Source organism: Homo sapiens, chromosome 9, assembly GCF_000001405.40.
Source record: "Homo sapiens chromosome 9, GRCh38.p14 Primary Assembly".
NCBI lineage: Eukaryota > Metazoa > Chordata > Mammalia > Primates > Hominidae > Homo > Homo sapiens.
Window position 1 is genome coordinate 128,813,432 of NC_000009.12, and position 24,723 is coordinate 128,838,154.

The following is a 24,723-nucleotide window of genomic DNA, read 5'->3' on the forward strand; positions in this document are numbered from 1 at the left end:
ACTTGGAGACTGAGGCAGCAGAATCACTTGAACCTGGGAGGTGGAGGTTGCAGTGAGCTGAGATTGTGCCACTGCACTCTGGCCTGGGTAACAGAGTGAGACTCTGTCTCAAAATAAATAAATAAATAAATAAATAAATAAATAAAAACTCGTAAAGTAAAAGTTACAGTGGCTGGGCGCGGTGGCTCACACCTGTAATCCCAGCACTTTGGGAGCCCAAGGCGTGCAGATCACGAGTTCAGGAGATCGAGACCATCCTGGCTAACACAGTGAAACCCCGTCTCTACTAAAAATACAAAAAATTAGCCAGGTGTGGTGGCGGGCGCCTGTAGTCCCAGCTACTCGGGAGGCTGAGGCAGGAGAATGGCGTGAGCCCAGGAGGCGGAGCTTGCAGTGAGCCAAGATCGCGCCACTGCACTCCAGCCTGGGCAACAGAGCAAGATTCCGCCTAAAAAAAAAAAAAAAAGTAAAAGTTACAGTAAGCTAAGGTTTATTATTGAAGAAAGAAGTATTTCAAATAAATTTAGTGTAGCCTAAATATAGTGTTGATAAAGTCTACAGTAGCGTAGAGTAGACTTTGTTCTGGGCCTTCACATTCACTCCTCAGTGACCCACGCAGAGCAACTTCCTGTCCCAGAAGCTCCATTCATGGTAAGCGCTTTATACAGACAGGTGTATCATTCTTTATTTTTTATTATTATTACTTTTTTTTTTGAGACAAGAGTTTCTCTCTGTCACCCAGGCTTGAGTGCAGTGACACTACCTCGGCTCACTGCAACCTCTGCCTCCCGGGTTCAAGCAATTCTCCTGCCTCAGCCTCCCCAGTAGCTGGGAATACAGGTGTGTGCCACCACACCCGGCTAATTTTTGTATTTTTAGTATACACAGTGTTTCACCGTGTTGGCCAGGCTGGTCTTGAACTCCTGACATTGTGATCCACCTGCCTCGGCCTCCCAAAGTGCTGGGATTACAGGTGTGAGCCACCTAGCCTGGCATACTTTTTTTGGTTTGTTTTTTTTTTTGAGATAGAGTCTCGCTCTGTCGCCCAGGCTGGAGTGCAGTGGCACGATCTCAGCTCACTGCAACCTCAGCCTCCGGGGTACAAGGAATTCTCATGCCTCAGCATCCCAGGGTAGCTTGGATTACATATCTTTATGTGATGCATGATTATATTTGCAAACCATACATCTGATAAGGGGTTAATATCCAAGATATATAAGTACTTAAAACATCTCAGTAGCAGCTGGGCATGGTGGCTCATGCCTGTAATTCAAGCACTTTGGGAGGCGGAGGCGGGTGGATCACCTGAGGTCCGGAGTTCAAGACCAGCCTGGCCAATATGGTGAAACCCAGTCTCTACTAAAACTACAAAAATATTAGCCAGGAGTGGTGGTGGGTGCCTGTAATCCCAGCTACCCAGGAGGCTGAGGCACAAGAATCACTTGAACCCAGAGGCGGAGGTTGCAGTGAGCCGAGATCGTGCCACTGCACTCCAGCCTGGGTGACAGAGCAGGACTCTGTCTAAAAAACAAAAACAGAAACAAACAAAAATCTCAATAGCAAGAAAACAATGTGATTTAAACAACACGCAAAGGACCTGAATAGATATTTCTCAAAAGAAGACATACAGCACTTTGGGAGGCTGAGGCAGGCGAATCGCCAGGTGAAGAGATCAAGACCATCCTGGCCAACATGGTGAAACCCCGTCTCTACTAAAAATACAAAAATTAGATGGGCATAGTGGTGTGTGCTTGAACCCAGGAGGCGGAGGTTGCAGTGAGCCGAGATCGAGCCACTGCACTCCAGCCTGGTGACAGAGCCAGACTCTGTCTCAAAAAAAAATAAAAAAAGACATAAAAATTTCTGGCAACTATCTGAAAAAATGCTGAACAATGCATGGATCATCTGGGAAATGCAAATTAAAACCAAAATGAGATACCACCTCACACCTGTCAGAATGGCTTATAAAAAAAAGACAAGGCCGGGCGTGGTGGCTAACGCCTGTAATCCCAGCACTTTGGGAGGCTGAGGCAGGTGGATCACGAGGTCAGGAGTTCAAGACCAGTCTGGCCAACATAGTGAAACCCCATCTCTACTAAAAATACAACAAAATTAGCCGAGCGTGGTGGTGTGCACCTGTAATCCCAGCTACTCAGGAGGCTGAGGCAAGAGAATTGCGTCAACCTGGGAGGGGGAGGTTGCAGTGAGCCAAGATTGTGCCATTGCACTCCAGCCCAGGCAACAGTGCGAGATTCACCCTCAAAAAAAAAAGGAGATTCTGTCATTTGTGACAACATGGAAGAACCTAGAGGACGTTACGGTAGGTGAAATAAGCCAGGCACAGAAAGACAAACACGACATGGTTTCACTTATATTCGGAATGTAAAACAACTCATAGAGGTGGAGAGTAGAATGATGGTACCAGAGTCTGGGGATTGGTGGGAGTTGGGGCGGTGGGGAATGGGGAAATGTTGGTCAAAGGGTACAGTTTCAGCTAGACAGGAGGATTTTTTTTTTTTTAATTTGAGACGGGGGTCTTACTATGTTGCCCAGGCTGGTCTTGAACTCCTTGGTTCAAGCAATCCTCCCACCTTGGCCTCCAAAAGGGCTATGATTACAGGCCTAAGCCACCATACCCGGCCCAGGAATGTTTTTTTTTTAGAACTATAGCATGGTATGGCCAGGTGCGATGGCTCACACCTGTAATCCCAGCACTTTGGGAGACTGAGGTGGGTGGATCATCTGAGGTCGGGAGTTCGAGACCAGCCTGACCAGCATGGAGAAACCCTGTCTCTACTAAAAATACAAAAAATTAGCTGGGGATGGTGACACATGCCTGTAATCCCAGCTACTCGGGAGGCTGAGGCAGGAGAATCACTTGAACCTGGGAGGCAGAGGTTGTGGTGAGCCGAGATCACGCCATTGCACCCCAGCCTGGGCAACAAGAGCAAAACTCTGTCTCCAAAAAAAAAAAACACAAACTACAGCATGGTCACTATAGTTAATGTATATTTCAAAATTGCTGAAAGTAGCTGGGTATGGTGATACACCATAGCCTGTAGTCCCATTTACTCAGGAGGCTGAGGCCCACAGATCACTTGATCCCAGGAGGTCAAGAACAGCCTGGGCAACAAAGCAAGACCCTGTCCCATATTTTTTTTTGAAGCAGAGTCTCACTCTGTTGCCCAGGCTGGAGTGCAGTGGCATGATCTCGGCTCACTGCAACCTCCGCCCTCCAGGTTCAAGCAATCCTCTTGCCTCAGTCCCCCAGTAGGTGGGATTACAGGCACGGTCCACTATGCCCAGCTAATTTTTGTATTTTTAGTAGAGACAGGGTTTCGCCATGTTGGCCAGGCTGGTCTCAAACTACTGACCTCAGGAGGGCTTAGTGGCTCATGCCTGTAACTTTGGGAGGCCAAGGCAGGAGGATCACTGGAGGCCAGGAGTTCAAGACCAGCCTGGACAACATAGCGAGGCCCCATCTCTATAAAAAATTTAAAAGTTAGCCAGGCATCATGATATGTGTCTGTGGTCCTAGCTACTCGGGAGGGTGAGGCAGGAGGATGGCTTGAGCCCAGGAGGTCAAGGCTGCAGTGAACTGTGATCTTGCCACTGCACTCCGTGTGGGTGACAGCACAAGACCTTATTTTCCTTAAAGGAAAAAAAAATGCTAAGAGTGGCTGGGTTGGGTGGCCCATGTCTATAACCCCAGCACTTTGGGAGGCCAAGGTGGGTGGATCACAAGGTCAGGAGTTAGTTCGAGACCAGCCTGGCCAACATGGTGAAACCCATTCTTTACTAAAAGTACAAAAATTAGCTGGGCGTGGTGGCGCGCGCCTGTAGTCCCAGCTACTCAGGAGGCCGAGGCACGAGAATCGCTTGAACCAAGGAGGCGGAGGTTGCAGTGAGCCTGGGCGACAGAGCGAGACTCCGTCTCAAAAAAAAAAAAAAATTAGCTGGGCCTGGTGGTGCGCGCCTGTAATCCCAGCTACTTCAGAGGCTGAGGCAGGAGAATCACTTGAACCTGGGAGGCAGAGGTTCCACTGCGCGGAGATCACGCCATTGCACTCCAGCCTGGGCAATAGAGTGAGACTCCGTCTCAAAAAATAAAAGTCCTTAACCAGTCCATATTTCTGAATATTTTGCTTATTCCTGCCGGCAGTGTAATACTCTGGTGAATATTTGCGTTCGAGATCCTTGCATTCCCGAGATTTCCCCAGCTCAGCCCTCTGCGTGGGTTGAACGGTATGAACCTTTTTAAGGCTTCGCTTGTACTGTACTGTCAAGCTGTTTTTTGGAATATTCGCCCCAGGTTTCTGTTCCAGCCAGCAGCCAGCATCAGCCGTCTGCATCCTTGTCCTCAAACTGCTGTTAATTAAAATCTTTGCCAATCTGGGCCGGGCGCGGTGGCTCACGCCTGTAATGCCAACACTTTGGGAGGCCGAGGCCGGCGGATCGCCTGAGGTCGGGAGTTTGAGACCAGCCTGACCAACATGGAGAAACCCTGTCTCTACTAAAGATACAAAATTAGCCGGGCGTGGTGGCGCATGCCTGTAATCCCAGCTACTTGGGAGGCTGAAGCAGGAGAATCGCTTGAACCTGTGAGGCGGAGGTTGCAGTGAGCCGAGATCACGCCATTGCACTCGAGTCTGGGCGACCAGAGCGAAACTCCGTCTCAAAAAAAAAAAAAAAAAAAAAGAAACCTTTGCCAATCTGGTAGAATTGCGGGGCTTATTTTATGGTGTCATGGAGGATAGCCTAGGGCCAGATATACCTGGGGCCCTGTGCCTGCTCTGCGAACTAGGAGCTCACTCTCCGAGCGGTGTAGAGGGTGAGACTAAGCAGTGACAGTAAAAGCTTTCGACAGTGCTTGACCCTTCCGCGGAGCGTATTAAGCAGGAGCTCCCTGCGCAGGCGCAGAGGAGAGAGTGTCTCCCACCCCACGACCAGCAGGGGGCCTGCGAGGCGGGTGCGGAGCCAGGCCTGATGGTGGCCAATCGCGAGCTGAGGCGACGATGCCACGCCCCTCATACCGGCGTCTTAAATGCGCAAAGAAAGGACGCCGGGGACACCCGGTTGGGCTCTGCTGCTCCCTTCTGGGTTCCGAGGCCCAAGCCCTTGGCAGTGTTTGTGAGTGGAAGGGAGGTCACGCTATCGTCCGCGGCCCCAGCAGCCCTGTGCCCTCGTTGGATCCCGCGACGCGGCTCCTTTAAGAGCCTCGCGGGTCGCCCGCCGCTAGGTCGCTCCCCGGCCATGCGGGCGCTGCGGGCCGGCCTGACCCTGGCGTCGGGCGCGGGGCTGGGTGCGGTCGTCGAGGGCTGGCGGCGGCGGCGGGAGGACGCGCGGGCGGCGCCGGGACTGCTGGGCCGGCTGCCCGTGCTGCCCGTGGCGGCGGCAGCCGAGTTGCCCCCTGTGCCCGGGGGACCCCGCGGCCCGGGCGAGCTGGCCAAGTACGGGCTGCCGGGGCTGGCGCAGCTCAAGAGCCGCGAGTCGTACGTGCTGTGCTACGACCCGCGCACCCGCGGCGCGCTCTGGGTGGTGGAGCAGCTGCGACCCGAGCGTCTCCGCGGCGACGGCGACCGGCGCGAGTGCGACTTCCGCGAGGACGACTCGGTGCACGCGTACCACCGTGCCACCAACGCCGACTACCGCGGCAGTGGCTTCGACCGCGGTCACCTGGCCGCCGCCGCCAACCACCGCTGGAGCCAGAAGGCCATGGACGACACGTTCTACCTGAGCAACGTCGCGCCCCAGGTAGCGCCCGCGCCCCGGGCCGGTCGCGGAATGCGGGGCCGGCGCCTGGCCTCGCGGGGCCTCGGTTTGTTCTTCTGCAGAACGGGGCAGCTGCCCAACGCGCCCCCGGTCAGGCATCGCAGTGACATCCCGTGGCGGGAGGGAGGAGCACTGGGCTCCAGGCACAGGGTCTGCAGGCCGACCAGGGCTTGAGCTTCAACTGCGAACCCTGGGCACCTCCCTGAGCGTCGCTTTCCTCGTCAAAAAAATGGGGATAATACCGTTATTCACCTTCCTCCTGCGGTAGTGATGAGGCGCTGAGGCTCACAGAGGCAAAGTGACGGGCACAGTGTCACACAGCAGAAGAAGGCTGTCTGTTGTAGAACCGCAGCGCCCAACCTATTGGGCACCAGGGTGCGGTTTCGTGGAAGACAGTTTTTCCACGGCTTGGTGGGTGAGGGCGGGTTTCAGGATAATTCAAGTGCGTTACATTTATGTACATTTTATTTCTATTATTATTACATTGTAACATATAGTGAAATATACAACTCACAGTAATGTAGGATCCGTGGGAGCCCTGAGCTTGTTTTCCTGCAACTAGACAGTCCTATCTGGAGGTGATGGGCAACAACGACAGATCAGGCATTAGGTTTTCAAAAGAAGCGCGCAACCTCCTCACATGCGCAGTTCACCATAGGGTTCCAGCTCCTATGACAATCTCCAGCCGCCACTGATCTGACAGGAGGCGGAGCTCAGGCTGCTGTGGGATCAATGGGGGGGTGGCTGTAAATACAGATGAAGCTTCCCTTGCTCGCCTGCTGCTCACCTCCTGCTGTGTGGCCCGGTTCTGGTACCGGTCTGTAGCCCAGGGGTTGGGGACCCCTAGTCTATAAAACCGTGAGCCTCCAGACATTGTCCTACCCTGCCTGCCTTCAGGCAGTTTCGAGGCAGACACCTGGCCCACGATCAGGTTGTTAGTGCCAGGCACTGTGCACTGGGCCAACCACCCTCTCAGCCTGTTCCCAGCAGGTCCTGGCACCAATGGATGGAGACTGCCATGGGGCTCTGGGTGGAGCCCATGGGGCACCAACCTCTGACCCAGCTTCCTTCTGGGAAGACAGCCCCCTATCCACTTTCCATTGTCCCAGGCCTGGAGAGCTCAGGATGGAGGTCGATTCATGGCATTCCCCGCTAGGCTCTTCCTGTGGCTCAGACTGGGAAAAGGAACGGGTTGGTAGTTGGAAGGGCTGGTCTTCCCAGGAGACCCTGGGTGGGGCTGGGGACAGGCCTCAGTCCTCTCTGAAAGGTGGAGACAGGCTCTTCCTTCATTCGACTCTTGGGAGCTGAGAAAAGACTTTGACACCTGGGCTGTGGGAGGGACAGAGGGTGGTGGCTAGCACTCTATCAGCCCTGGGTTTCAGGGAGTGACTTTCATTCCTTGAGCCTCAGTTTCCCCCCGCTTGTCTCACTGGATATCTCTGAGCCTGTCCATCCCCTCAGGACCTGGGGCGGCCCTCTGATAGAGGAGGAAGGGTCCCAGCCACAGTCCTGCTAAGCCCTATCTCTCCTACCAGGTGCCCCACCTCAACCAGAATGCCTGGAACAACCTGGAGAAATATAGCCGCAGCTTGACCCGCAGCTACCAAAACGTCTATGTCTGCACAGGGCCACTCTTCCTGCCCAGGTAAGGTGGAAACCAGGGGGGCGGCAGAACCTCCCACTCACCTGAGGCCCCTACTGCCACTCACAGGGCCAGGCTTGCCCCAGGCTCTGGGTCAATACCAGTTCCCTACTCATCTGGTTTCTTGGCAAGCCTGTCAGCTTCCCTGCCTCGAGTCCCCTCATTCCACCTCCACAGCCAAAGACCTGTCGGGTACCCCTGACCATCTCTCCTCTGCCCATGGGCAGCAGCAGGCCCTGAATCTGCCCCCGCTTCTCCCTGCTGTCACCTCTTGGCATGCCCACCCAATCTTGTTCTGCCAATATGGAACCCCCCGCAGGTCTGCAGTGCACCAAGCTCTCCCACCTTCCCCCCGCAGGTCTGCAGTGCACCAAGCTCTCCCGCCTTCCCCCTGCAGGTCTGCGGTGCACCAAGCTCTCCCACCTTCCCTCTGCAGGTCCGAGGTGCACCGAGCTCTCCCGCCTTCCCCATGCAGGTCCCCAGTGCACCGAGCTCTCACGCCTTCCCCATGCAGGTCCCCAGTGCACCGAGCTCTCCCGCCTTCCCCATGCAGGTCCCCAGTGCACCGAGCTCTCATGCCTTCCCCCTGCAGGTCCGCGGTGCACCAGGCTCTCCCGCCTTCAGTCTCTGCTCTGCTTGGAGCACTTCCCTCCACCCTTCTCGGGAGTTTGAATCTAGATCTGCCTGACCCAGGGCCTCCACTCTTGCTCCTGTGCAGCCCTGCCTCTCAGGTGGAAGCAACTGAGCACCTCTGGGTGTGCTCCGTGGTTTTTCTGGCCTGCAGAGGGCTGGGGCTGAGAGGCAACAGGTCCAGGCTGAGCAGCTCACTCTGGAATCCACAGGCTCGGGATGGAGTCCAGGCCTCATCACCTAGTTCCTTGGTGCTGTGGGCAAATGACCTGTGTCCCCCTCTGCAAAACCTGTGACCTCTTGGTTGATGTCACATGCTTCCCCAGGGCCTGGTCCATGGTAAGGGCTCGGCATAGGCTGGCCAAGGCGGTGGTTGGGGCACTGATCAAATTTCATTAGCAGGTGCCTCCTAGGGCCTGGTGGAAGGGAGGAGACTCTGCTGAGGGGGAGCCCCCGTCCGGTGTCCTGGCACCTGTGCTGGTGCTGGGATATCACCTGTCATGGTCCTTGCCCACTTGTTGCTCACCTCTGTGGGGAGAGATGGACAGTCGTTAAGTCTCCCCTCAGACGAATGTGAATATTCAGAAGGCTCGATTCTCCTAGCAGCGTTTATTGTCGCCCACTCTGCCTGACCCAGTGTTGGGCATAAGGAAAACAGAGGGAAAGAGTTAACCACCCTGGAGAGAGTTCCAGCCTCAAGGAGGAGCCAGGCAGGCTACAGAAGTCTCACAGTGAGGGCGTGGTCCTGCAGGTTGACAGAAGTTAGAGGACAGATCAGGGAAGGCTGCCTGGAAGAGGTGGCTTTGGGTTCATCCAGGCCCCCTGCCCACGTGTGCCTGGGTCTGCCCACAGGACAGAGGCTGATGGGAAATCCTACGTAAAGTACCAGGTCATCGGCAAGAACCACGTGGCAGTGCCCACACACTTCTTCAAGGTGCTGATCCTGGAGGCAGCAGGTGGGCAAATTGAGCTCCGCACCTACGTGATGCCCAACGCACCTGTGGATGAGGCCATCCCACTGGAGCGCTTCCTGGTGCCCATCGAGAGCATTGAGCGGGCTTCGGGGCTGCTCTTTGTGCCAAACATCCTGGCGCGGGCAGGCAGCCTCAAGGCCATCACGGCGGGCAGTAAGTGAGGGTGGAGCCCAGTGAGACTGTGGGTGTGTGCAGGCCGGGGAGTATTAAAGGTGGTGATTTTTGGAGACAAGTCTGGTGGCGTCCGTCCCAAGTGACCTGCAGAGCCCCTGGTTTCACTGCTGCTTCACTGATGTCCTCGGCCCCTTAGAACTTTCAGGTGTGCCGGGCACCCGCCTGGATGAGGCCAGGCTGCAGGGCGGCCAGGGAGATGAGGATGGCTTCCTGGAAGAGAAGCGTGGCAGTGGGCTGGGGCCTGGGGGGCTAGCGGGTGCCCCCGCTCCCAGCCTGTCTTCAGTGCCTGGCTGCCCGAGACCTGGCCCACTGGGGTCCCCTGTCCTTAGTAGGGCCTGGTGAGGTTAATGACAGGCCCAGGTTCACACTGCACACTTGCCACCTGGAGGACCACACAGCCTGCTCCTCAGGCTCCTCTTCTGTAAAATGGGGGCGAAGGTAACAACGCCCACCTCCCAGGGCCAGGGGAGGGCAAGAAGAGGGGCAAGAAGTTTTCACCCCTCGTGCAGGGGTTGGAAGGGTGGCAGCCAGGGTTCCTGCTGGGGGGTATGGCTGTCAGGCTCAGAGTGCTCGGCTTGGGCAAGGCCTTAGGGATGGGTAGACAGGGCTGTCGGCCCGGCGAGACTGATGGGAGTACCAGCCTTCCCAGCAGAGTTCCCGTAGCACAGCGTCCTATGCCTGACCCCAAAAGTGGGTACACAGGTTCCATGAGGCCAGGACGAAGGCTCCAGCTGCACGTGGCTTCCCCCGTGGGACAGATGCAAGTGAGACCCCAAGGGGAGAGCTGCTGTGCCCACCGTGGTCACACACAAGGAAGTGGCAGAACCAGGGCCCTGGGAGATCACTGAGCGCACGGCTAAGGAACCAGAGGCCCGGAGCAGGGGTGGGCAGGGCCCCCTGGGTCACCCAGTCTGGGAGCACAGGACGGGCACTAGCACCCATGGTTGACTCCCAGCTACACTCATGTCTCGTCGCTGTGGCAAGAGGCCAAGGGGGATGAGAGGACCACCTCCAGACAAGGCAGCCACGGGCAAGGGTGGGTGACAGGGCAAGAGTAGCACCCGCCCCTCGGACAGATCCCAAGGCCCCAGTGGCTGGCAGTCGGGGAGGCAGGCGGGCTCACCTCCGTGCGGATGGTACGGCTACCCTGGCCAGGACAGGTATTGACGTACAGGTCAAAGAGGACACTGGGTTCAGCCACCTCCAGGTTGGGGTCAGCATCCGCTCCAGCTTCCAGACCCTGGAGGCCCCCGAACACCACAAGAGCATGCCTGGCCCATGTAAGAGGGGGTCACCTGAGCGGCCACCGAGGCCCCACCCAGCACAGCGCCCAGACCTCAGTCCCTCCCCACCCCAGACAGCAGGGGCCCATCTGTGCAGCTTCACCCACCAGGCAGGTTCCTGGCCACATTCCTCCTGCCCTGGCCGCAGCCCCAGGAGGTACACACCTGAAGTTGGGAAGCTGGGCAGAGGCCACATCTGAGCCGCGCTCTGACGTCCCGATGGTCAGGTCATACCCATCTTGGAAGGGGGCCTCAGCAAACACAGCACCTGGGGGTGGGGCCAGCTCAGTGCAGGTCCTGCTCCCCACAAGCCATAGCTCCGGGTATTATGTGTGTGTGTACTGAGGCGGGGGTGGGTGGGAAGAGCTGTGTGGTGTGTGTGTGTGTGTGTGTGCGTGTGTGTACTAAGGTAGGGGTGGGTGGGTAGAGCTCTGCCTGTGTGTGCATTGAGGCAGGGGTGTGTGTGTACCGAGCAGGGGTGGGTAGAGCTGTTCCTGGAAAGTCAAGGACTGAGCAGGGCAGACACCAAGCCTGTGCTTGGCTGGGGAACAGGGCAGAGACTGGATAGGAAGAGGCACCAAGAACATGAAGTGGGCCTCTGACTTCTCTGGCCCTTTTGCCTCCATTCCCAACCCTACAGAAACATTATTGATCAATAATGATACTTTTGCTCAGTAGTCCTTAACAGCATTCCAGGCAGTGCATCCAGGGAGAACAAGGCCCAGAGAAGGGGAAGGACTTGCCCAAGGACACACAGCAAGTTGACAGGACAAAAACCCTGGTCTGATATTTGGGTCAGGCAAGGCTCCCGGCCACCTCCCAGAGGGATGGATGGATATTCAGAGAAGTAAGGTCTGTCCTTACTGAGGCAGGAAGCCAGTCGGACGGTGTAGCCCCAGTAGAGACCAGCTTTGGTGCGAGGGTCCTGCGATGATACCACTTTGCCATGGTAGGTCTTGCAGTCTGGAGGGGTAACAGAGTCTGTAAAGATGGGGTGAGGGAATGGAAGCAGGTGGCTGAACCCTGGAGCTCATCAGGCCAACCCAGGGGTTGGGGAACCTTCCAGATACCTGGGTGCTGCTGCTGGTTCAGTCGCACAGTCACCCGAAGCCCGGGCTCCAGGTTCTTGTCAATCTTCACCTCCTGGGGAGAAGCCAGAAGAAATGGGTGCCATTCCTCTCAAGATCAGCAGGGGCCACGGCTCTTCCAGATGCCACCAGGGGAGCCCCGGGGCTGGCAAGGGACCAAGGGGTCCAGGTCAACCTGCCACCCTCCACCCCTGGCACCGGCTGAACCTGCTCACAAGAGATCATTTGTGCAAAACACAGGTCACTGGCCAAACATGCACCTTTGGGGCGCTCATGGCACAGGATAGAAGTAGATGAAACTCAGTTTTCTACATTTTGGTAGCTCTGCAACTTTTTTTTCTTTTTTTTCTTTTTTAAGATGGAGTCTGGCTCTCTCACCCAGGCTGGAGTGCAGTGGCACGATCTCAGCTCACTGCAACCTCTGTCTCCTGGGTTCAAGTGAATCTCCTGCCTTAGCCTCCCGAGTAGCTGGGATTATAGATGCGTGCCACCACACCTGGATCATTTTTGTACTTTTATTAGAGACAGGGTTTCACCATATTGGCCAGGTTGGTCTCAAACTCCTGACCTCAAATGACCCGCCTGCCTCAGCCTCCCAAAGTGCTGGGGTTACAGGCGTGAGCCACTGCGCTTGGGTTGTGCTTTCTGACAGGAAGGGACTCCATACATGTAAAGGTTTCTGCCTCTGATTTGAGGAGGCTTGAGGATAAAGAGGCGGCAAATTAATGCCCTCATCCCAGCTTGGCTCTGTGCCACATGGGAGCAGCTCCAGAGTGACTTTCAACTTGTTTCTGCAGGGTTTTGTTTGGAGCATGAGGACTGTCTTCTGTTGATTTGCTTTTTAAGCAACAGTAAATTCATTCCTGGCTTTATCTATTGAGCCCCATTTTGCACAATTCTCTGGCCCAAATTTGCATCAGTGAGGGATTTCGGGCAGGTCCAGGGCTCTCCGCAACATCCATCTGCTTGCCCTCCATTGCCAGGGTGTGTCCTGGAGGTGTGTCCTAGCCCATCTTTCTGTTCCTACCTTTTTCATGCCACAGTTGACAAAGGAGCCGTGGCCTGGCCGGGTGGGCCGATCCACCACGATGCCCTCTCGGAACTCGGATTCCTCATCCTGACGCATGTGGTGGGGGCTGTCCAGGGGGTTCAGGAGCCCTGTGGAGGCAGAGCCGGGAAGAGTCTGGGAAGTGCTAGGGCACACAGGGTGCAGTGGGGACCCTGGAGCGGAGTACCGGCTCTGCCACAGACCTGCGTCTTGGCATCAGACACAGGTCTTGCTCTCCCAGGCCTGCTTTCCCACCTGGACAGCGCAGGGTAGGACTGGGTGGTCTCAGTGTCTGTGGCATGATCCAGGGGAAATGGGGGGGCGGGCCCATACAGCGTTACCTGCAAACTGTAGATCCTGGTGCTTGGGGAAGAACGCCTTCCTCAGGTACCTAGGAAAGAATGCTGACCTCAGGATGTTCCCAGGGGAAGCCGCCTCCTACCTGGTCTCCACTTTGACACACCCCTCCCTCATGCTTAGGGGAGTGACCCCCTTACTGTGGACACTCCAGGTACTGCAGGATCCGGGCCAGCTGTACGCACGCCTGCCCCTTCTTCCCAACTCCTGTGAATTCCCCCTCCACAGTCCTGGAGAGAGAGAGATGGGGGCTCAGGATCCAGCTGTGGCCCCTTCAAGAGCTCCTGTCTACAAGTGCACGCGTATAATCCCAGCTACTCAGGAGGCTAAGGTGGGAGGATCATCTGAGTGCAGCAAGTAGAGGCTGCAGTGAGCCATGACCATGCCACTGCATGCACTCCAGCCGGGGTGACAGCTGAGATACAGGTTTAGGCCTTCTGGCTCCCAATCCCACCTCTGTAGTCATCACCCCCACCTGGCAACTCTACCCACTAAGGATTACACAGGGAATATTTCAGGCAGGGCACGAGGGAAGAGCCAGGCATGTGGACGGGGCCATGGTGAAGCCTCGGCCCATCCCGGCAGCCCCTCCCTCTCCCTGAACCCTGGCACCCTGTGGGATGGCCCCTTACTTGGCATCCTGGCCCTCCTCATCAAACACCACGATCTCATCCACACAGAAGATGGCACAGGCTCTGGCAATCTGACCGGCCAAGTAGGTGCGAAGCTCCGGCGACTGAGCATTGTCCAGGATGGAGCCCGGCAGGGCTACGCTCAGTGTGTAGGGCCGCCCTGAGCAGGGGAGGGATGTTCCCAGCCAGTGTGAGAGGCAAGGGCCCCCTACCTTTCTCTCCCTTCCTCTGTCCCTAGCGCCCATGGTTTGAGAATTTCCCAAGTGGGAGGAATTTTGAGATGAGCAAAATAGATCCAGCTCCCCTCTCTGGGCCTCAGTCTCCCAGCAGTCTCCATGGCTCCTCTGAGCAGGGCAAACCACTGGGCGAGGCTGTGGAGCGGTTAGTAGCAATGGCCTAAGTTCACATCCTGGCTCTCCCACTTACTGCCTCAGTTCTCCAGCTATCAAATGGGGATAAAATGAAAGCTGATATCTAATAAGTCTTTAGTGTGTGCACATTAACCCGATAGCCATTAACCTGATCCCTAGTGAGGATACTGCCATTATCCCCATTTACAGACCAGGGGCCTTCAGCCCCGGGAAGTCAAATACATGGCCCAAGGTCACACAAAAGGTGGCTCATGCCTGTAATCCCAGCACTTTGGGAGGCCAAGGCGGGCGGATCACCTGAGTGAGGTCAGGAGTTCAAGACCAGCCTGGCCAACATGGCGAAACCCCGTCTCTACTAAAAATACAAAAATTAGCTGGGCATGGTGGCGCATGCCTGTAATCCCAGCTACTCCGGAGGCTGGGGCAGGAGAATCGATTGAACTGGGAAGTGGAGATTGCAGTGAGCGGAGATCGAGCCACTGCACTCCAGCCTGGGCAACAGAGCGAGACTGTGTCTCAAAAACAAACAAAAAAGCCCAAGAAGCACATAGATAACATGGTTTCACTGTTGTAACATTGTATCTGTACTTTGCTACACATGGATAAGTAGCTATAATTGTTTGGACAAGCTTTTGCTACAATGTTTGCTGGGATTGTTCCTGTCTTCTTTGTAGTTTTCTTTCATTTTTATTATGAAATCAAAATAATTGAAAAATGAAATTAAAGCACACAGAAAATGCTCAATAAAAAAGTCAAAAAATCAGGAAGATCATGAAGTTCTAGAGGTCTAAGTTAAGAGATATGAGGCTTGGGCCGGGCACGGTGGCTCATGCCTGTAATCCCAGCACTTTGGGAGGCTGAAGTGGGCAGATCACCTGAGGTCAGGAGTTCGAGACCGGCCTCCCCAACATGGTGCAACCACGTCTCTACTAAAAATACGAAAATTAGCCAGGTGTGGTGGCACACTTCTGTAATCCCAACTACTCGGGGGGCCGAGGGAGGAAAATTGCTTGAACTTGGGCAGTGGAGGTTGCAGTGAGCAGAGATGGCGCCGTTGCACTCCAGCCTGGGCAACAGAGCAAGACTCCATCTCAAAAAAAAAAAAAAAGAGAGATAAGGCTTGCCTTCCATAGGCTTGAAATTTACCTAAGCAGGAGGTCAGAACTCAGTTTGCTGGCTCCCTCCCTTCTCTGGGCCTCAGTTTCTCCATCAGGACAAGATGTTTGGACCTACTGGTCTGTAAAGGCCCTTTCAGATAAGACATCTCTGCTCTGCCTGCAGGACAACTACCGTGGGCCACAACCTGTGGCCCTCCCCAAGACCCCAGCTCACCGCGGTCCTCCTTCTCTGCCGCTGCCTCCTCCTCTTCCAGGCGCTTTGCCTGTTCCTCCTGTGCCCGCTGCCGCTCCAGTTTTTTCATCAGCTTGAGATCCTTCCATTTTTTTTTCTCCTCTTTCTCTGGATAAAAGAACATCCTAATTGGCCAAGGAGACAGTTCCCACTCATTGGGTCAGCCTGGACTCTGGAGAGCTGCTGGGTGAGCAGCCAGAGGGCAGCAAGGGAGCCTCCCCAGGGCTCCCGGCCCCTGCCTCCCCACTTTGTGTGCTGCAGGACCCAGAGGGAACAAAGTTGGTGTCTTTCTCCAGGGTTTGACTGAGCACTGGTGGAGTGGCCTATGGGAAGATACTCTTACCCACCCTTACTTACTCTGTTGCTTCCATTTTCGCCACTCAATCCTTTGGCCGTGTTCACCCTGGAGAAGGAGTGGTAGGAGGATTATGAGTGTGAGGCTGATGGTCACACCTGGAGGGGGTCCGTTTGCTGCACCATAGCCAGCCCCTCCACACGGGGCGGCAAGGAAGCCAAGGAACCTCTGCGAACTGCTGCCCCAGAAAGCGGCAGGAGGGCAGGGACCCGCTGTATCCCCAGCGCCTGGGACCCAGCCTGGCACACAGAAAGCACTCAAGAAACTGTCGAATGAGTTCCCACAAAACAGAAGAGAAAACTGAGGCTCAGGGTACAGCACTGCCCACAGTCGCCCTGGAAGTCAGAAAAGGGCTCCAGAAGCCACGAAAGGGCTCCGGATTCAGCATCCGGAGGCGAGCAGGGTCCCGCCTCCGTAATCCAGCGGGGGCCAGGGAGCCGCAGGGGGTTCCGGAGAGGACACGGGCGCTGTTCCCATCCTGCTGAGGCTCACGCGGCACCTTCGGGGGCTTCCGGCCTGGGATCAGCGGGAAGCAGGCAGCAGGAGGCGCGGCCCGGCCCCGGCGAAGGCCCCCACGCCACTGGTTCTCACGCCTCCACCATGCTGCCCTGCACGGGGTCCCGCCGCCCGCACTTACCGGGCCGCACGGCCGCTTCCTGCCGCGCTCCGCCATGTTCCGCACACACCGTCGGTCCCGCCTCTGCCAATGAGACTCGCCTCTTCCGGCCACACCTCCATTAAGCTGTCCAATCGGAGAGCCAATATCGCCCAGGGGCGTGGCCTGGGCGCCCGACGGGCTGCAGGGGTACGCGGGCTGGAGTAGGTTGGGCAGAGTAGGTGTCCAAATAGGCGGCATCGCGGGTACTGTGCTGAATTTTGGATGGCTCGGAGCCCCCCTCTGAGTTGGGACAAATACAACACTCAGACCTCTGAGTAGTTCACTTGTTTAAAAATAATTTTTTTTGAGACAGGGTCTCGCTATGTTGCCGAGGCTGGAGTGCAGTGGAGCAATTCTAGCTCACTGCAGGCTTGAGCTCCTGGGCTCAAGGGATCCTCCCACCTTAGCCTCCCGAGTAGCTGGAACCACAGGTGCGCAGCACCACGCCTAGCTCCTGGAAGGCTTTATACATGGGGACCCTGGGGCCTTGAGCTGTAGTGTGATTCAGAGCTGAAAATGAGATAATTTACTCCAGGTTTCTTATAGATTCGTTCACGTACTCTTTCTTTTTTTTGAGACAGAGTCTCGATTCATTGCCCAGGCTGGAGTGCAATGGCGCGATCTCGGCTCACTGCAACCTCCACCTCCTGGGTTCAAGCAATTCTCCTGCCTCAGCCTTTCAAGAAGCTGGGATTACAGGAGCGTGCCACCATGCCCAGCAAATTTTTTTGTGTGTGTTTTTAGTAGAGATGGTGTTGATGTTGGCCCCGTGTTGGCCAGCCTGGTTGAACTCCTGACCATAAGTGATCCTCCAGCCTCGGCCTCCCAAAGGGCTGGGATTACAGGCGTGACCCACTGCACCCGGCCTTTTTTTTTTTTTTTTTTTTTTTTTTTTTTTTTTTTTGAGACAGAGTTTCGCTTTTCTTGCCCAGGCTGGAGTGCAATGGCTCGATCTCAGCTCACAGGAACCTCCAACTCCTGGGTTCAAGCGATTCTCCTGCCTTAGCCTCCCGAGTAGCTGGGATTACAGGCATGCACCACCACGCCTGGCTGATTTTGTATTTTTAGTAGAGATGGAGTTTCTCTATGTTGGTCAGGCTGGTCTCGAACTCTTGACCTCAGGTGATCCGCCCACCTCGGCTTCCCAAAATGCTGGGATTACAGGCATGAGCCACCACGCCCGGCCTCGTTCTCTTTTAATTAACAGACTATATTAGTTGGGACTACAAGTGTGAGCCACCATGCCCGACTAATTTTTTTTTTTCTTTTTGTACAGATAGTGTCTCACTATGTTGCCAGGGCTGGTCTCAGACTCCAGGGTTCAAGCAATCCTCCCAACTTGGCTTCCCAAAGGGCTGAGATTATAGACTTGAGCCATTAATGCCTTTTATTTTTTGAGATCTAGTCTCACTCTGTTGCTCAGGCTGAAGTGCAGTGGCATGATCTCGGCTCACTGCAACCTCTGCCTCCCAGGTTCAAGCAATTCTCCTGCCTCAAGCTCCCAAGTAGCTGGGATTACAGGCGCCTGCCACCAAGCCCGGCTAATTTTTGTATTTTTAGTAGAGACGGGATTCTCCATGTTGGTCAGGTTGGTCTTGAACTCCCGACCTCAGGTGATCCACCCGCCTCGGCCTCCCAAAGTGCTGGAATTACAGGTGTCAGCCACCGTGCCCGGTCTCGAACTTAGATTTTTTTTTTTTTGAGACAGTCTCGCTCTGCTCTGTCGCCCAGGCTAGAGTGCAGTGGCGTGATCTCCGCTCACTGCAAGCTCCGCCTCCTGGGTTCATGCCATTCTCCTGCCTCAGCTTCCCGAGTAGCTGGGACTACAGGTGCCCGCCACTGCACCCGGCTAATTTTTTATATTTTTAGTAGAGACAGGGTTTCACCGTGTTAGCCAGGATGGTCTCGATCTCCTGACCTCGTGATCCACCCGCCTCGGCCTCCCAAAGTGCCGGGATTACAGGTGTGAGCCACCGTGCCTGGTCTCGAACTTAGATCTTATACTAAATTTGTTGTGATTTTTGACAGGTTTATTTTGTAGGCATGACTGATTAAGACATTGGCCATTTGAAAAAACAAACACAAAAATCCCCCCAAAACAACAATAACAAACAGACATGGACCATGTGATTGGGCTCAAAGTCTAGTCCCTCACACCTCCATGGAGGCAGAGATGGAGGGGGCCCGATGGGCTAAAAGTTCTGACCCCGTAATCGTACAGTGCAGAGGGATTCCATGTGACTAACAAGACATGCCTATCTTCCAGAAACTCCAAGGATTTTAGGAATTCTTTACTAAGGACCAGGGGCAAACACCAAATATGTATTTTATTATATGATATATTCCTATCAGCTCCCCCAGTTAAACATATGATATGAGCCAAACCCATGCGCTTGCTATGCAAATGCAACTTCAAGACCAGGCCCCTAACACCACCTTCCAAAGAAATTCAGGAGCTACTATTGCTATCCAGTGAGACTCAATCGGGGCCAGCTAGAAGGCCTGGGCACACCACTTCACCTCACCTCCAGAGTGCTTTCCTCTCTTGTGAACTGGAGATAACTCAGGTCTCAGTCTCAGAGGGTTGTGTAAGATGATGTGCGTCTGAGTGCCTCGCAGGTAGGGCTTGCACGATCAACATTCAGTCCTCCTCCTGAGAATTATTTAAGTCCCTGGTCCTCCTGGCCCCCACTGTGCTGTTCTCTCACCCCTGTGGGAATGTCCATGTCTTCCTTGTCACGAACCCCAATCCTCTCCACACACACACACACACACAAACACATATGACACCCCCACCCCAGCCACCACACCCAGCACCAATAACTGCTACCATCAGATTAATATGAGAGGCCAGCTATGGTGGCTCACGTCTGTAATCCCAGCACTTTGGGAGGCCGAGGCGAGCAGATGACCTGAGGTCAGGAGTTTGAGTCCAGCCCAGCCAACATGGTGAAACCCCATCTCTACAAAAACACAAAAATTAGCCGGGCGTGGTGGCAGGTGCCTGTAGTCCCAGCTACTCAGGAGGCTGAGGCAGGAGAATTGCTTGAACCCAGGAGGTGGAGGTTGCAATGAGCCAAGATCATGCCACTGCACTCCAGCCTGGGGGACAGAGCGAGACTCTGTTTCAAAAACAACAACAACAACAACAACAACAACAACAACAACAACAAAGATTAATAGTGAGGAATTCATTTGAGGGCCTTGGGTGCTAGGCCTGGTTGTGCCACTATGTGACTACAGTAACCATTTGTACAAAGTTGTGGGGGTGTCTGAGGTTCTTCTGGGCATTCTTCACAAGTTAGATCAGCCATCAGCATGAGTGTGAAGCAGAGAGAAGCCGTCAATAAGGATCTTAATAACTTAAACATTTTATTATGGACGAAAAGGAGAGGCTTGAGGACTCAAGCCTAAAGGCAACTCCCCAAGGCCAAGATGAGCCAGGGAAGGTGAGGTTATACCTGAGCCTTAGCAGGGGCCATGCAGAGCTGGGATGTGATCGGTACATGGTGGAAGTCTACCGTCCGTCTCAGCCAAGCCTGGAGAGACCAGAAGCAACACAAGACCCTACAAACCCACCTATGGAGGGGCAGGGAGAGGCCCAGGTCAGGCCACCCTCACCTTTCAGACAGGAGGCACTTGGTTCTCTAAGATGAAGAAGGGCGGCTCCCACCCAGAACATTCTGTGTCACGGAGAAGAGGTTTCCCAATAGCATCTTCCCCAACCTAGAAATGTCTGAAACCTGGACAAAGACAGACACTCAAAGAGGATCTCTGCGGGCATGTGGGGATGTCAGGGCCAAGGCGTGACTTCAGGGCTAGAGTTCCACCTTCCACTTCCGCAGCTTCTCGTCCATGGCCTGGAGCGTGGCTTCATCCTGCGCCAGCACAGATTAGTCCTACACTCTCCCCATGTGCCCAGCCGGCCTTGGGAAGCTCTGTGAGGTCTTTCCTCCCCCAGCCCTGCCCTTTACCTTCACAAAACAGAAGCGGATATAGTGGTCAAAGTGCTTCTGATGTGGCACACTATAGAAGATGGAGACAGGGATGGCCACCAAGCCCTGGGGAGGAGGAAGGACATGTCTCAACACGGCCTCGTGGCCCAGCAGGCCTTGGCTCCGGAGGGGACAGAGAGGTTCCCACGACCAGGCGGGGAAGGAGAGTTAGCTCCAATCCAGCACCTAGAGCTGCATCAAAGTCAGAGGAACAAGGCCAGGTGCGGTGGCTCACGCCTATAATCCCAGCACTTTGGGAGGCTGAGACGGGTGGATCACCTGAGGTCAGGAGTTCAAGACCAGCCTGGCCAACATGGCTAAACCCCGTCTCTACCAAAAATACAAAAATTGGCCGGGTGTGGTGGCGCATGCCTGTAATCCCAGCTACTTGGGAGGCTGAGGCAGGAGAATTGCTTGAACCCGGGGGTGGAGGTTGCAGTGAGCCAGATTGCGCCACTTCACCGCAGCCTGGGCGAAAGAGAGAAAATCCATCCAAAACAAAAACAAACACAAAGTCAGAAGAAAAGAATCCCAGAACATCATTCCAAGTCCCTCCCTGGGTATAGAGGGCAGAGGGAGGCTGACAGAGGGAGGATCATGGAGCAGGTCAGGGCAGAGCCAGAGAAGAACAAAGCCTTAGAGTCACAGATCAAACCTGGATGAACTCAAGAGTTAATGGGCCAACTCCTCACTGTACAGATGGGAAGATGGAGATCCAAAGAGGCAGGAAATCCTGCCAGCCCACACAGCATCTCTGTGCAAGTTAGAAACAGGTTCCTCAGGCCAGGCACGGTGGCTCACGCCTGTAATCCCAGCACTTTGGGAGGCCAAGGGGAGTGGATCATCTGAGGTCAGGAGTTGGAGACTAGCCTGACCAACATGGTGAAACCCCGTCTCTACTAAAAATACAAAAATTAGCCAGGCGTGGTTGTACATGCCTGTAATCCCAGTTACCCAACTACTCAGGAGGCTAAGGGAGGAGAATCGCTTGAACCCTGGAGGTGGAGGTTGCAGTGTGCTGAGATTGCGCCACTGCACTCCCACCTAGGCGACAGAGTGAGACTCTGTCTCAAAAAAAAAAAAAAAAAAAAAAAGGCCAGGAGCAGTGGCTCACGCCTGTAATCCCAGCACTTTGGGAGGCCGAGGCAGGTGGATTACAAGGTCAGGAGATCAAGACCAACCTGGCTAACATGGTGAAACCCCGTCTCTACCAAAAATACAAAAAAAATTAGCCGGGCAAAAAAAAGTAGCCTGTGGTCCCAGCTACTCGGGAGGCTGAGGCAGGAGAATGGCGTGAACCTGGGGGGCAGAGCTTGCAGTGAGCCAAGATCGCGCCACTGCACTCCAGCCTGGGCAAGAGTGAGACTCCATCTCAACCAAAAAAAAAAAAGAAAGAAAAAAAGAAACAGCCTCCTCATTCTCTGAAGTGGATACAACCCTGCCCCAAGGTTGACGGCAGAGGCTGGACTAAGATCTAGCCCAGGAGCCTCTTGCCTGGGCACCCTTGAGCAGCACACAACCTGTGAAACCATACATGGCTGCCTGGCAGAGGCCCAGCCCACCTTGTTCTTGATCATCCACTTGACGAAGCGTCTGTCATAGGGCTCATCCACAGCTCCAGGCAAGTCAGGCATCTTCCTCTCTGGGAGACAGAGGCCACACTGAGCCCCCTGCAGCCTCCAGCCCCTGCGCCCTGCCCAGACCGGCAAGTCTCACTCACTGAAGTCTGAGATGTCTGTGATGAGGAAGTAGCTGCCCTGAGGGATGATGGGCTTCAGGCCCACTGACTGTAGGCTACGTATCATGTGGTCACGGCAGCGCTGCATGGCCTGCGGGAACTGCACAAAGTAGCTGCTGGGTTGGCGGAAGAGCAGCTGCTCCCGTTCAAAGCTCTCGGCTACTGCAGCCTGGGCAGGGCAGATGGACACACAGATAGATCAGCTGTTCCCTGACGCGGGGGCCAGCCTGGGCTCTTTTGTTGTCCCCCCACTCCCCCGTGACGTCCTGCCCCTCTTCACCTGGCTCTGCGTGGGGCAGTGGAAGACGGAGTTCTGGTGCACGGTCCGCAGGTGCTTCATGATGTGATCTGGACCCAGGACCCAGCCCACCTGCAGCAGGGGCGCAGGTAGGGGGAGAGGTCCTTCCAGACCTGGCTAAAGCCTTCTTCATTCTCAGGCCCACCTCACTTGCCAAGGATCTTGCAGGGGGTGGTGACCTCCCACCCTCAGCAACTCACCTTCCAGCCAGTGGCGCTGAAGGTCTTGCCGGCGCTGCCGATGGTCAGGGTCCGTTCCCACATGCCAGGGAGGCTGGCTGCCCAAGGCCGAACAGAACAGCTGCTGAGACTGGGGTGAGGGGGACGGGGGAGGATGGTGGTCTGGGCCCCAGGGGACACGCATAGGCTTTTGACACCCTGGATTCCTCTACATACTAAGTTATTTGCACAATTTTTTTTCTTTCTTTCTTCCTTTCCTTTCCTTCCTTCCTTCTTTCTCTCTCTCTCTCTCTCCCTCCCTCCCTCCACCCCCCATTTCTTTCTTTGTTTTTTTTTTTTTTGAGATGGAGTCTCGCTCTGTTGCCCAGGCAGGAATGCAATGGCGCCATCTTGCCTCACTGCAACCTCCGCCTCCCAGGTTCCAGTGATCCTCCTACCTCAGCTTCCTGAGTAGCTGGGACTACAGGCACGTGCCACCATGCCCAGCTAATTTTTGTACTTTTAGTACAGACAGGGTTTCACCATGTTGGCCAGGCTGGTCTCAAACTCCTGACCTCAAGTGATCTGCCAGCCTCAGCCTCCCAAAGTGCTGGGATTACAGGTGTGACCCACCATGCTCGGCATAGGATTTCTTTGACCTCATCCTTTCGACAACCAGGGAGGCAGGTGCTACTGTGACACTGTGTACTCTGGGAGGCAAAGGTCACAGGATCTGCAGGGCTCCATAACCCTGGGTTCTAACTACCAGGCCTGCGCTGACTCTCAGGTGGGGTCAAGGCCCTCCCACCAATGTGCAGGGGAGGGGCCCCAGGCTGGCTTGGCTCACCAATGCTGATGTGCTGGTGCCCGTCGTAGACCATCCACTGGTAGACTTCATCAGTGATACACACCACGTCATGCTGCTGGCAAAGGCTGGCCACCAGCTCCAGCTCTTCCCTGGAGAACACCTGCAGATGCCCAAGGAGAGCACAGACCTGCAGCTGGGACCGTCCCCAAACACAGAGGCCTACTCAGAGAGGTTAAAGAACACAGCTGCGGCCAGGTGCGGTGGCTCACGCCTGTAATCCTAGCACTTTGGGAGGCCGAGGCGGGCGGAACACTGGAGGTCAGGAGTTTAAGACCAGCCTGGCCAACATGGAGAAACCCCGTCTCTACTAAAAACACAAAAATTAGCTGGGCATGGTGGCGGGTGCCTGTAATCCCAGCTACTCGGGAGGCTGAGGCAGGAGAATTGCTTGAACCCAGGAGGCAGAGGTTGCAATGAGCCAAGATCACACCACTGCACTCCAGCCTGGGAGACAGAGCGAGACTCCGTCTCAAAAAAATAAATAAATGGCGAATACAGCCAAGCCCAGTGCTAAGGGCTGTTCTGCACCATCACATTGGATCCCTGCAACACTGACCATGAGGTCAGTTCCCTCAGGTTCCCACATTACAGATGAGATACTTCGAGAGGCATAGTCACTATTCCAGGGTCACTGGGAAGTGATGGTGGCTCCCAGCCCAGTTCACTGTCCCAGCCCTCAGGCCTTCCCTGGGGATTCTTGCCCCTGTCCTGGGACCTCTGGAGTCTTGGTCCTCAGTGCTCATTGTGTGTGGCCCTCCCACACACAAACGAAGAAACGGAGGCCCCACAGCAGCAACTCAGTAACAGTGCAGGAGACATGACCAGGTCCGCAGGGGGCCAGGGAAGGAGGTCCCTCCAGTACCTTGCCCAGGGGGTTGTTGGGGGTGTTGAGGACCAGGGCTTTGGTGCGTGATGTGAATTTGCCGGCCAGCTCCATGGGGTCCAGCTGCCAGTTGCTGCTGGAACCCAGTTCTCCATTCTGGATGGGACCCTGCAAGAGCAGGTGGCATGGGGTGGTACCACTTAACCACCTGACATGCAGGTCTTCCCCAGCATCTATCCCCACCTTCTCTCCCCTGGGATCCCAACACACACACCTCCCCTCTGCCCTCCCAGCTTAGAGGAACTGGCTTCCTTCACTTCTTTCCTCCTTTTCCAACTCCCAGGGTCCAACTCAGCCCACGCCTTGGATCCCTCTGCCCATCCATCCTCTACCTAGCATCCTTACCGGCTTCAGGGACACAAACACAGGACGACCCCCTGCCATCATTGTCATGGGCTCGTAGCAGTCAAAAAAGGGTTCGATGATGATGACCTGATATAAGGGTCAAA

The 24,723-nt window shown here is 55.2% G+C and overlaps 4 protein-coding genes across 25 annotated transcripts in view, besides 8 other annotated features; 1 reads left to right on the top strand and 3 right to left on the bottom strand.

Annotated features, from left to right (window-relative positions):
* Positions 5,069 to 9,245, top strand: ENDOG (endonuclease G). Of its 2 annotated transcripts, XM_011518347.3 has the most exons (4): positions 5,069 to 5,754; positions 7,308 to 7,417; positions 8,257 to 8,383; positions 8,897 to 9,245. In XM_011518347.3, exons 1-4 carry the CDS (start codon positions 5,254 to 5,256, stop codon positions 8,906 to 8,908), a joined length of 750 nt encoding a protein of 249 aa, XP_011516649.2. In that variant the 5' UTR covers positions 5,069 to 5,253; the 3' UTR covers positions 8,909 to 9,245. The 2 variants fall into 2 exon arrangements, with proteins under 2 accessions (XP_011516649.2, NP_004426.2); NM_004435.2 differs by lacking the exon at positions 8,257 to 8,383.
* Positions 5,303 to 5,362: a silencer, noted in NCBI's record as "silent region_20353". NCBI's record gives its function as "represses an Ori minimal core promoter by ATAC-STARR-seq in GM12878 lymphoblastoid cells {active_cell/tissue: GM12878}" and the evidence as "EXISTENCE:reporter gene assay evidence [ECO:0000049][PMID:35858748]".
* Positions 5,467 to 6,032: an enhancer, noted in NCBI's record as "H3K27ac-H3K4me1 hESC enhancer chr9:131581177-131581742 (GRCh37/hg19 assembly coordinates)". NCBI's record gives its function as "activates a minimal SCP1, AML or CMV promoter by ChIP-STARR-seq in naive H9 embryonic stem cells {active_cell/tissue: H9 hESC(naive)}" and the evidence as "EXISTENCE:reporter gene assay evidence [ECO:0000049][PMID:30033119]".
* Positions 5,467 to 6,072: a biological region, named in NCBI's record as "H3K27ac-H3K4me1 hESC enhancer GRCh37_chr9:131581177-131581742".
* Positions 5,983 to 6,072: an enhancer, noted in NCBI's record as "active region_29092". NCBI's record gives its function as "activates an Ori minimal core promoter by ATAC-STARR-seq in GM12878 lymphoblastoid cells {active_cell/tissue: GM12878}" and the evidence as "EXISTENCE:reporter gene assay evidence [ECO:0000049][PMID:35858748]".
* SPOUT1 (SPOUT domain containing methyltransferase 1) lies at positions 6,220 to 16,363 on the bottom strand. Its single transcript, NM_016390.4, has 12 exons — positions 16,314 to 16,363; positions 15,679 to 15,724; positions 15,304 to 15,429; positions 13,601 to 13,760; positions 13,109 to 13,198; positions 12,953 to 13,002; positions 12,591 to 12,721; positions 11,546 to 11,618; positions 11,340 to 11,438; positions 10,641 to 10,743; positions 10,316 to 10,463; positions 6,220 to 9,402 (listed from the first exon to the last, which is right to left on the bottom strand). Exons 1-12 carry the CDS (start codon positions 16,347 to 16,349, stop codon positions 9,334 to 9,336), a joined length of 1,131 nt encoding a protein of 376 aa, NP_057474.2. The 5' UTR covers positions 16,350 to 16,363; the 3' UTR covers positions 6,220 to 9,333.
* KYAT1-SPOUT1 (KYAT1-SPOUT1 readthrough) overlaps positions 6,220 to 24,723 on the bottom strand; it is a 62,300-nt gene continuing 43,796 nt past the window's right edge. The window contains exons 5-25 of one of the 3 annotated variants that reach the window (NR_182311.1): positions 24,620 to 24,706; positions 24,254 to 24,382; positions 23,371 to 23,491; positions 22,566 to 22,642; positions 22,348 to 22,437; positions 22,050 to 22,236; positions 21,892 to 21,971; positions 20,309 to 20,395; positions 19,796 to 20,212; positions 16,314 to 16,574; positions 15,679 to 15,724; positions 15,304 to 15,429; positions 13,601 to 13,760; positions 13,109 to 13,198; positions 12,953 to 13,002; positions 12,591 to 12,721; positions 11,546 to 11,618; positions 11,340 to 11,438; positions 10,641 to 10,743; positions 10,316 to 10,463; positions 6,220 to 9,402 (exon numbers count right to left, since the gene is read on the bottom strand). Coding sequence is in view for 1 of the 3 variants with exons in the window: in NM_001414398.1 (NP_001401327.1) it covers positions 9,334 to 9,402; positions 10,316 to 10,463; positions 10,641 to 10,743; positions 11,340 to 11,438; positions 11,546 to 11,618; positions 12,591 to 12,721; positions 12,953 to 13,002; positions 13,109 to 13,198; positions 13,601 to 13,760; positions 15,304 to 15,429; positions 15,679 to 15,724; positions 16,314 to 16,574; positions 21,892 to 21,971; positions 22,050 to 22,236; positions 22,348 to 22,437; positions 22,566 to 22,642; positions 23,371 to 23,491; positions 24,254 to 24,382; positions 24,620 to 24,706 (2,127 nt within the window). In the remaining 2 variants the exon portion in view is untranslated. Of the gene's footprint in view, positions 9,403 to 10,315; positions 10,464 to 10,640; positions 10,744 to 11,339; positions 11,439 to 11,545; positions 11,619 to 12,590; positions 12,722 to 12,952; positions 13,003 to 13,108; positions 13,199 to 13,600; positions 13,761 to 15,303; positions 15,430 to 15,678; positions 15,725 to 16,313; positions 16,575 to 19,795; positions 20,213 to 20,308; positions 20,396 to 21,891; positions 21,972 to 22,049; positions 22,237 to 22,347; positions 22,438 to 22,565; positions 22,675 to 23,370; positions 23,492 to 24,253; positions 24,383 to 24,619; positions 24,707 to 24,723 lie in introns of all 3 variants that reach the window. The other 2 variants (NR_182310.1, NM_001414398.1) reach the window with 2 other exon arrangements.
* Positions 14,827 to 15,757: an enhancer, noted in NCBI's record as "H3K27ac-H3K4me1 hESC enhancer chr9:131590537-131591467 (GRCh37/hg19 assembly coordinates)". NCBI's record gives its function as "activates a minimal SCP1, AML or CMV promoter by ChIP-STARR-seq in primed H9 embryonic stem cells {active_cell/tissue: H9 hESC(primed)}" and the evidence as "EXISTENCE:reporter gene assay evidence [ECO:0000049][PMID:30033119]".
* Positions 16,095 to 16,274: a silencer, noted in NCBI's record as "silent region_20354". NCBI's record gives its function as "represses an Ori minimal core promoter by ATAC-STARR-seq in GM12878 lymphoblastoid cells {active_cell/tissue: GM12878}" and the evidence as "EXISTENCE:reporter gene assay evidence [ECO:0000049][PMID:35858748]".
* Positions 16,555 to 16,614: an enhancer, noted in NCBI's record as "active region_29093". NCBI's record gives its function as "activates an Ori minimal core promoter by ATAC-STARR-seq in GM12878 lymphoblastoid cells {active_cell/tissue: GM12878}" and the evidence as "EXISTENCE:reporter gene assay evidence [ECO:0000049][PMID:35858748]".
* Positions 17,091 to 17,314: a silencer, noted in NCBI's record as "fragment chr9:131592801-131593024 (GRCh37/hg19 assembly coordinates)". NCBI's record gives its function as "represses an EF-1alpha promoter that drives an FKBP-Casp9 reporter gene in an ReSE screen in K562 erythroleukemia cells {active_cell/tissue: K562}" and the evidence as "EXISTENCE:reporter gene assay evidence [ECO:0000049][PMID:32094911]".
* Positions 19,511 to 24,723, bottom strand: part of KYAT1 (kynurenine aminotransferase 1) — a 49,582-nt gene continuing 44,369 nt past the window's right edge. For 16 of the 19 annotated variants that reach the window (NM_001352989.2, NM_001352988.2, NM_001122671.2 and 13 more), the window contains 9 exons: positions 24,620 to 24,706; positions 24,254 to 24,382; positions 23,371 to 23,491; positions 22,566 to 22,642; positions 22,348 to 22,437; positions 22,050 to 22,236; positions 21,892 to 21,971; positions 20,309 to 20,395; positions 19,511 to 20,212 (listed from right to left, as the gene is read on the bottom strand). In NM_001352989.2, coding sequence (NP_001339918.1) covers positions 20,153 to 20,212; positions 20,309 to 20,395; positions 21,892 to 21,971; positions 22,050 to 22,236; positions 22,348 to 22,437; positions 22,566 to 22,642; positions 23,371 to 23,491; positions 24,254 to 24,382; positions 24,620 to 24,706 — 918 coding nt within the window. In that variant the 3' untranslated portion in view covers positions 19,511 to 20,152. Of the gene's footprint in view, positions 20,213 to 20,308; positions 21,084 to 21,891; positions 21,972 to 22,049; positions 22,237 to 22,347; positions 22,438 to 22,565; positions 22,675 to 23,370; positions 23,492 to 24,253; positions 24,383 to 24,619; positions 24,707 to 24,723 lie in introns of all 19 variants that reach the window. The other 3 variants (NR_148224.2, NR_109829.3, NR_148225.1) reach the window with 3 other exon arrangements.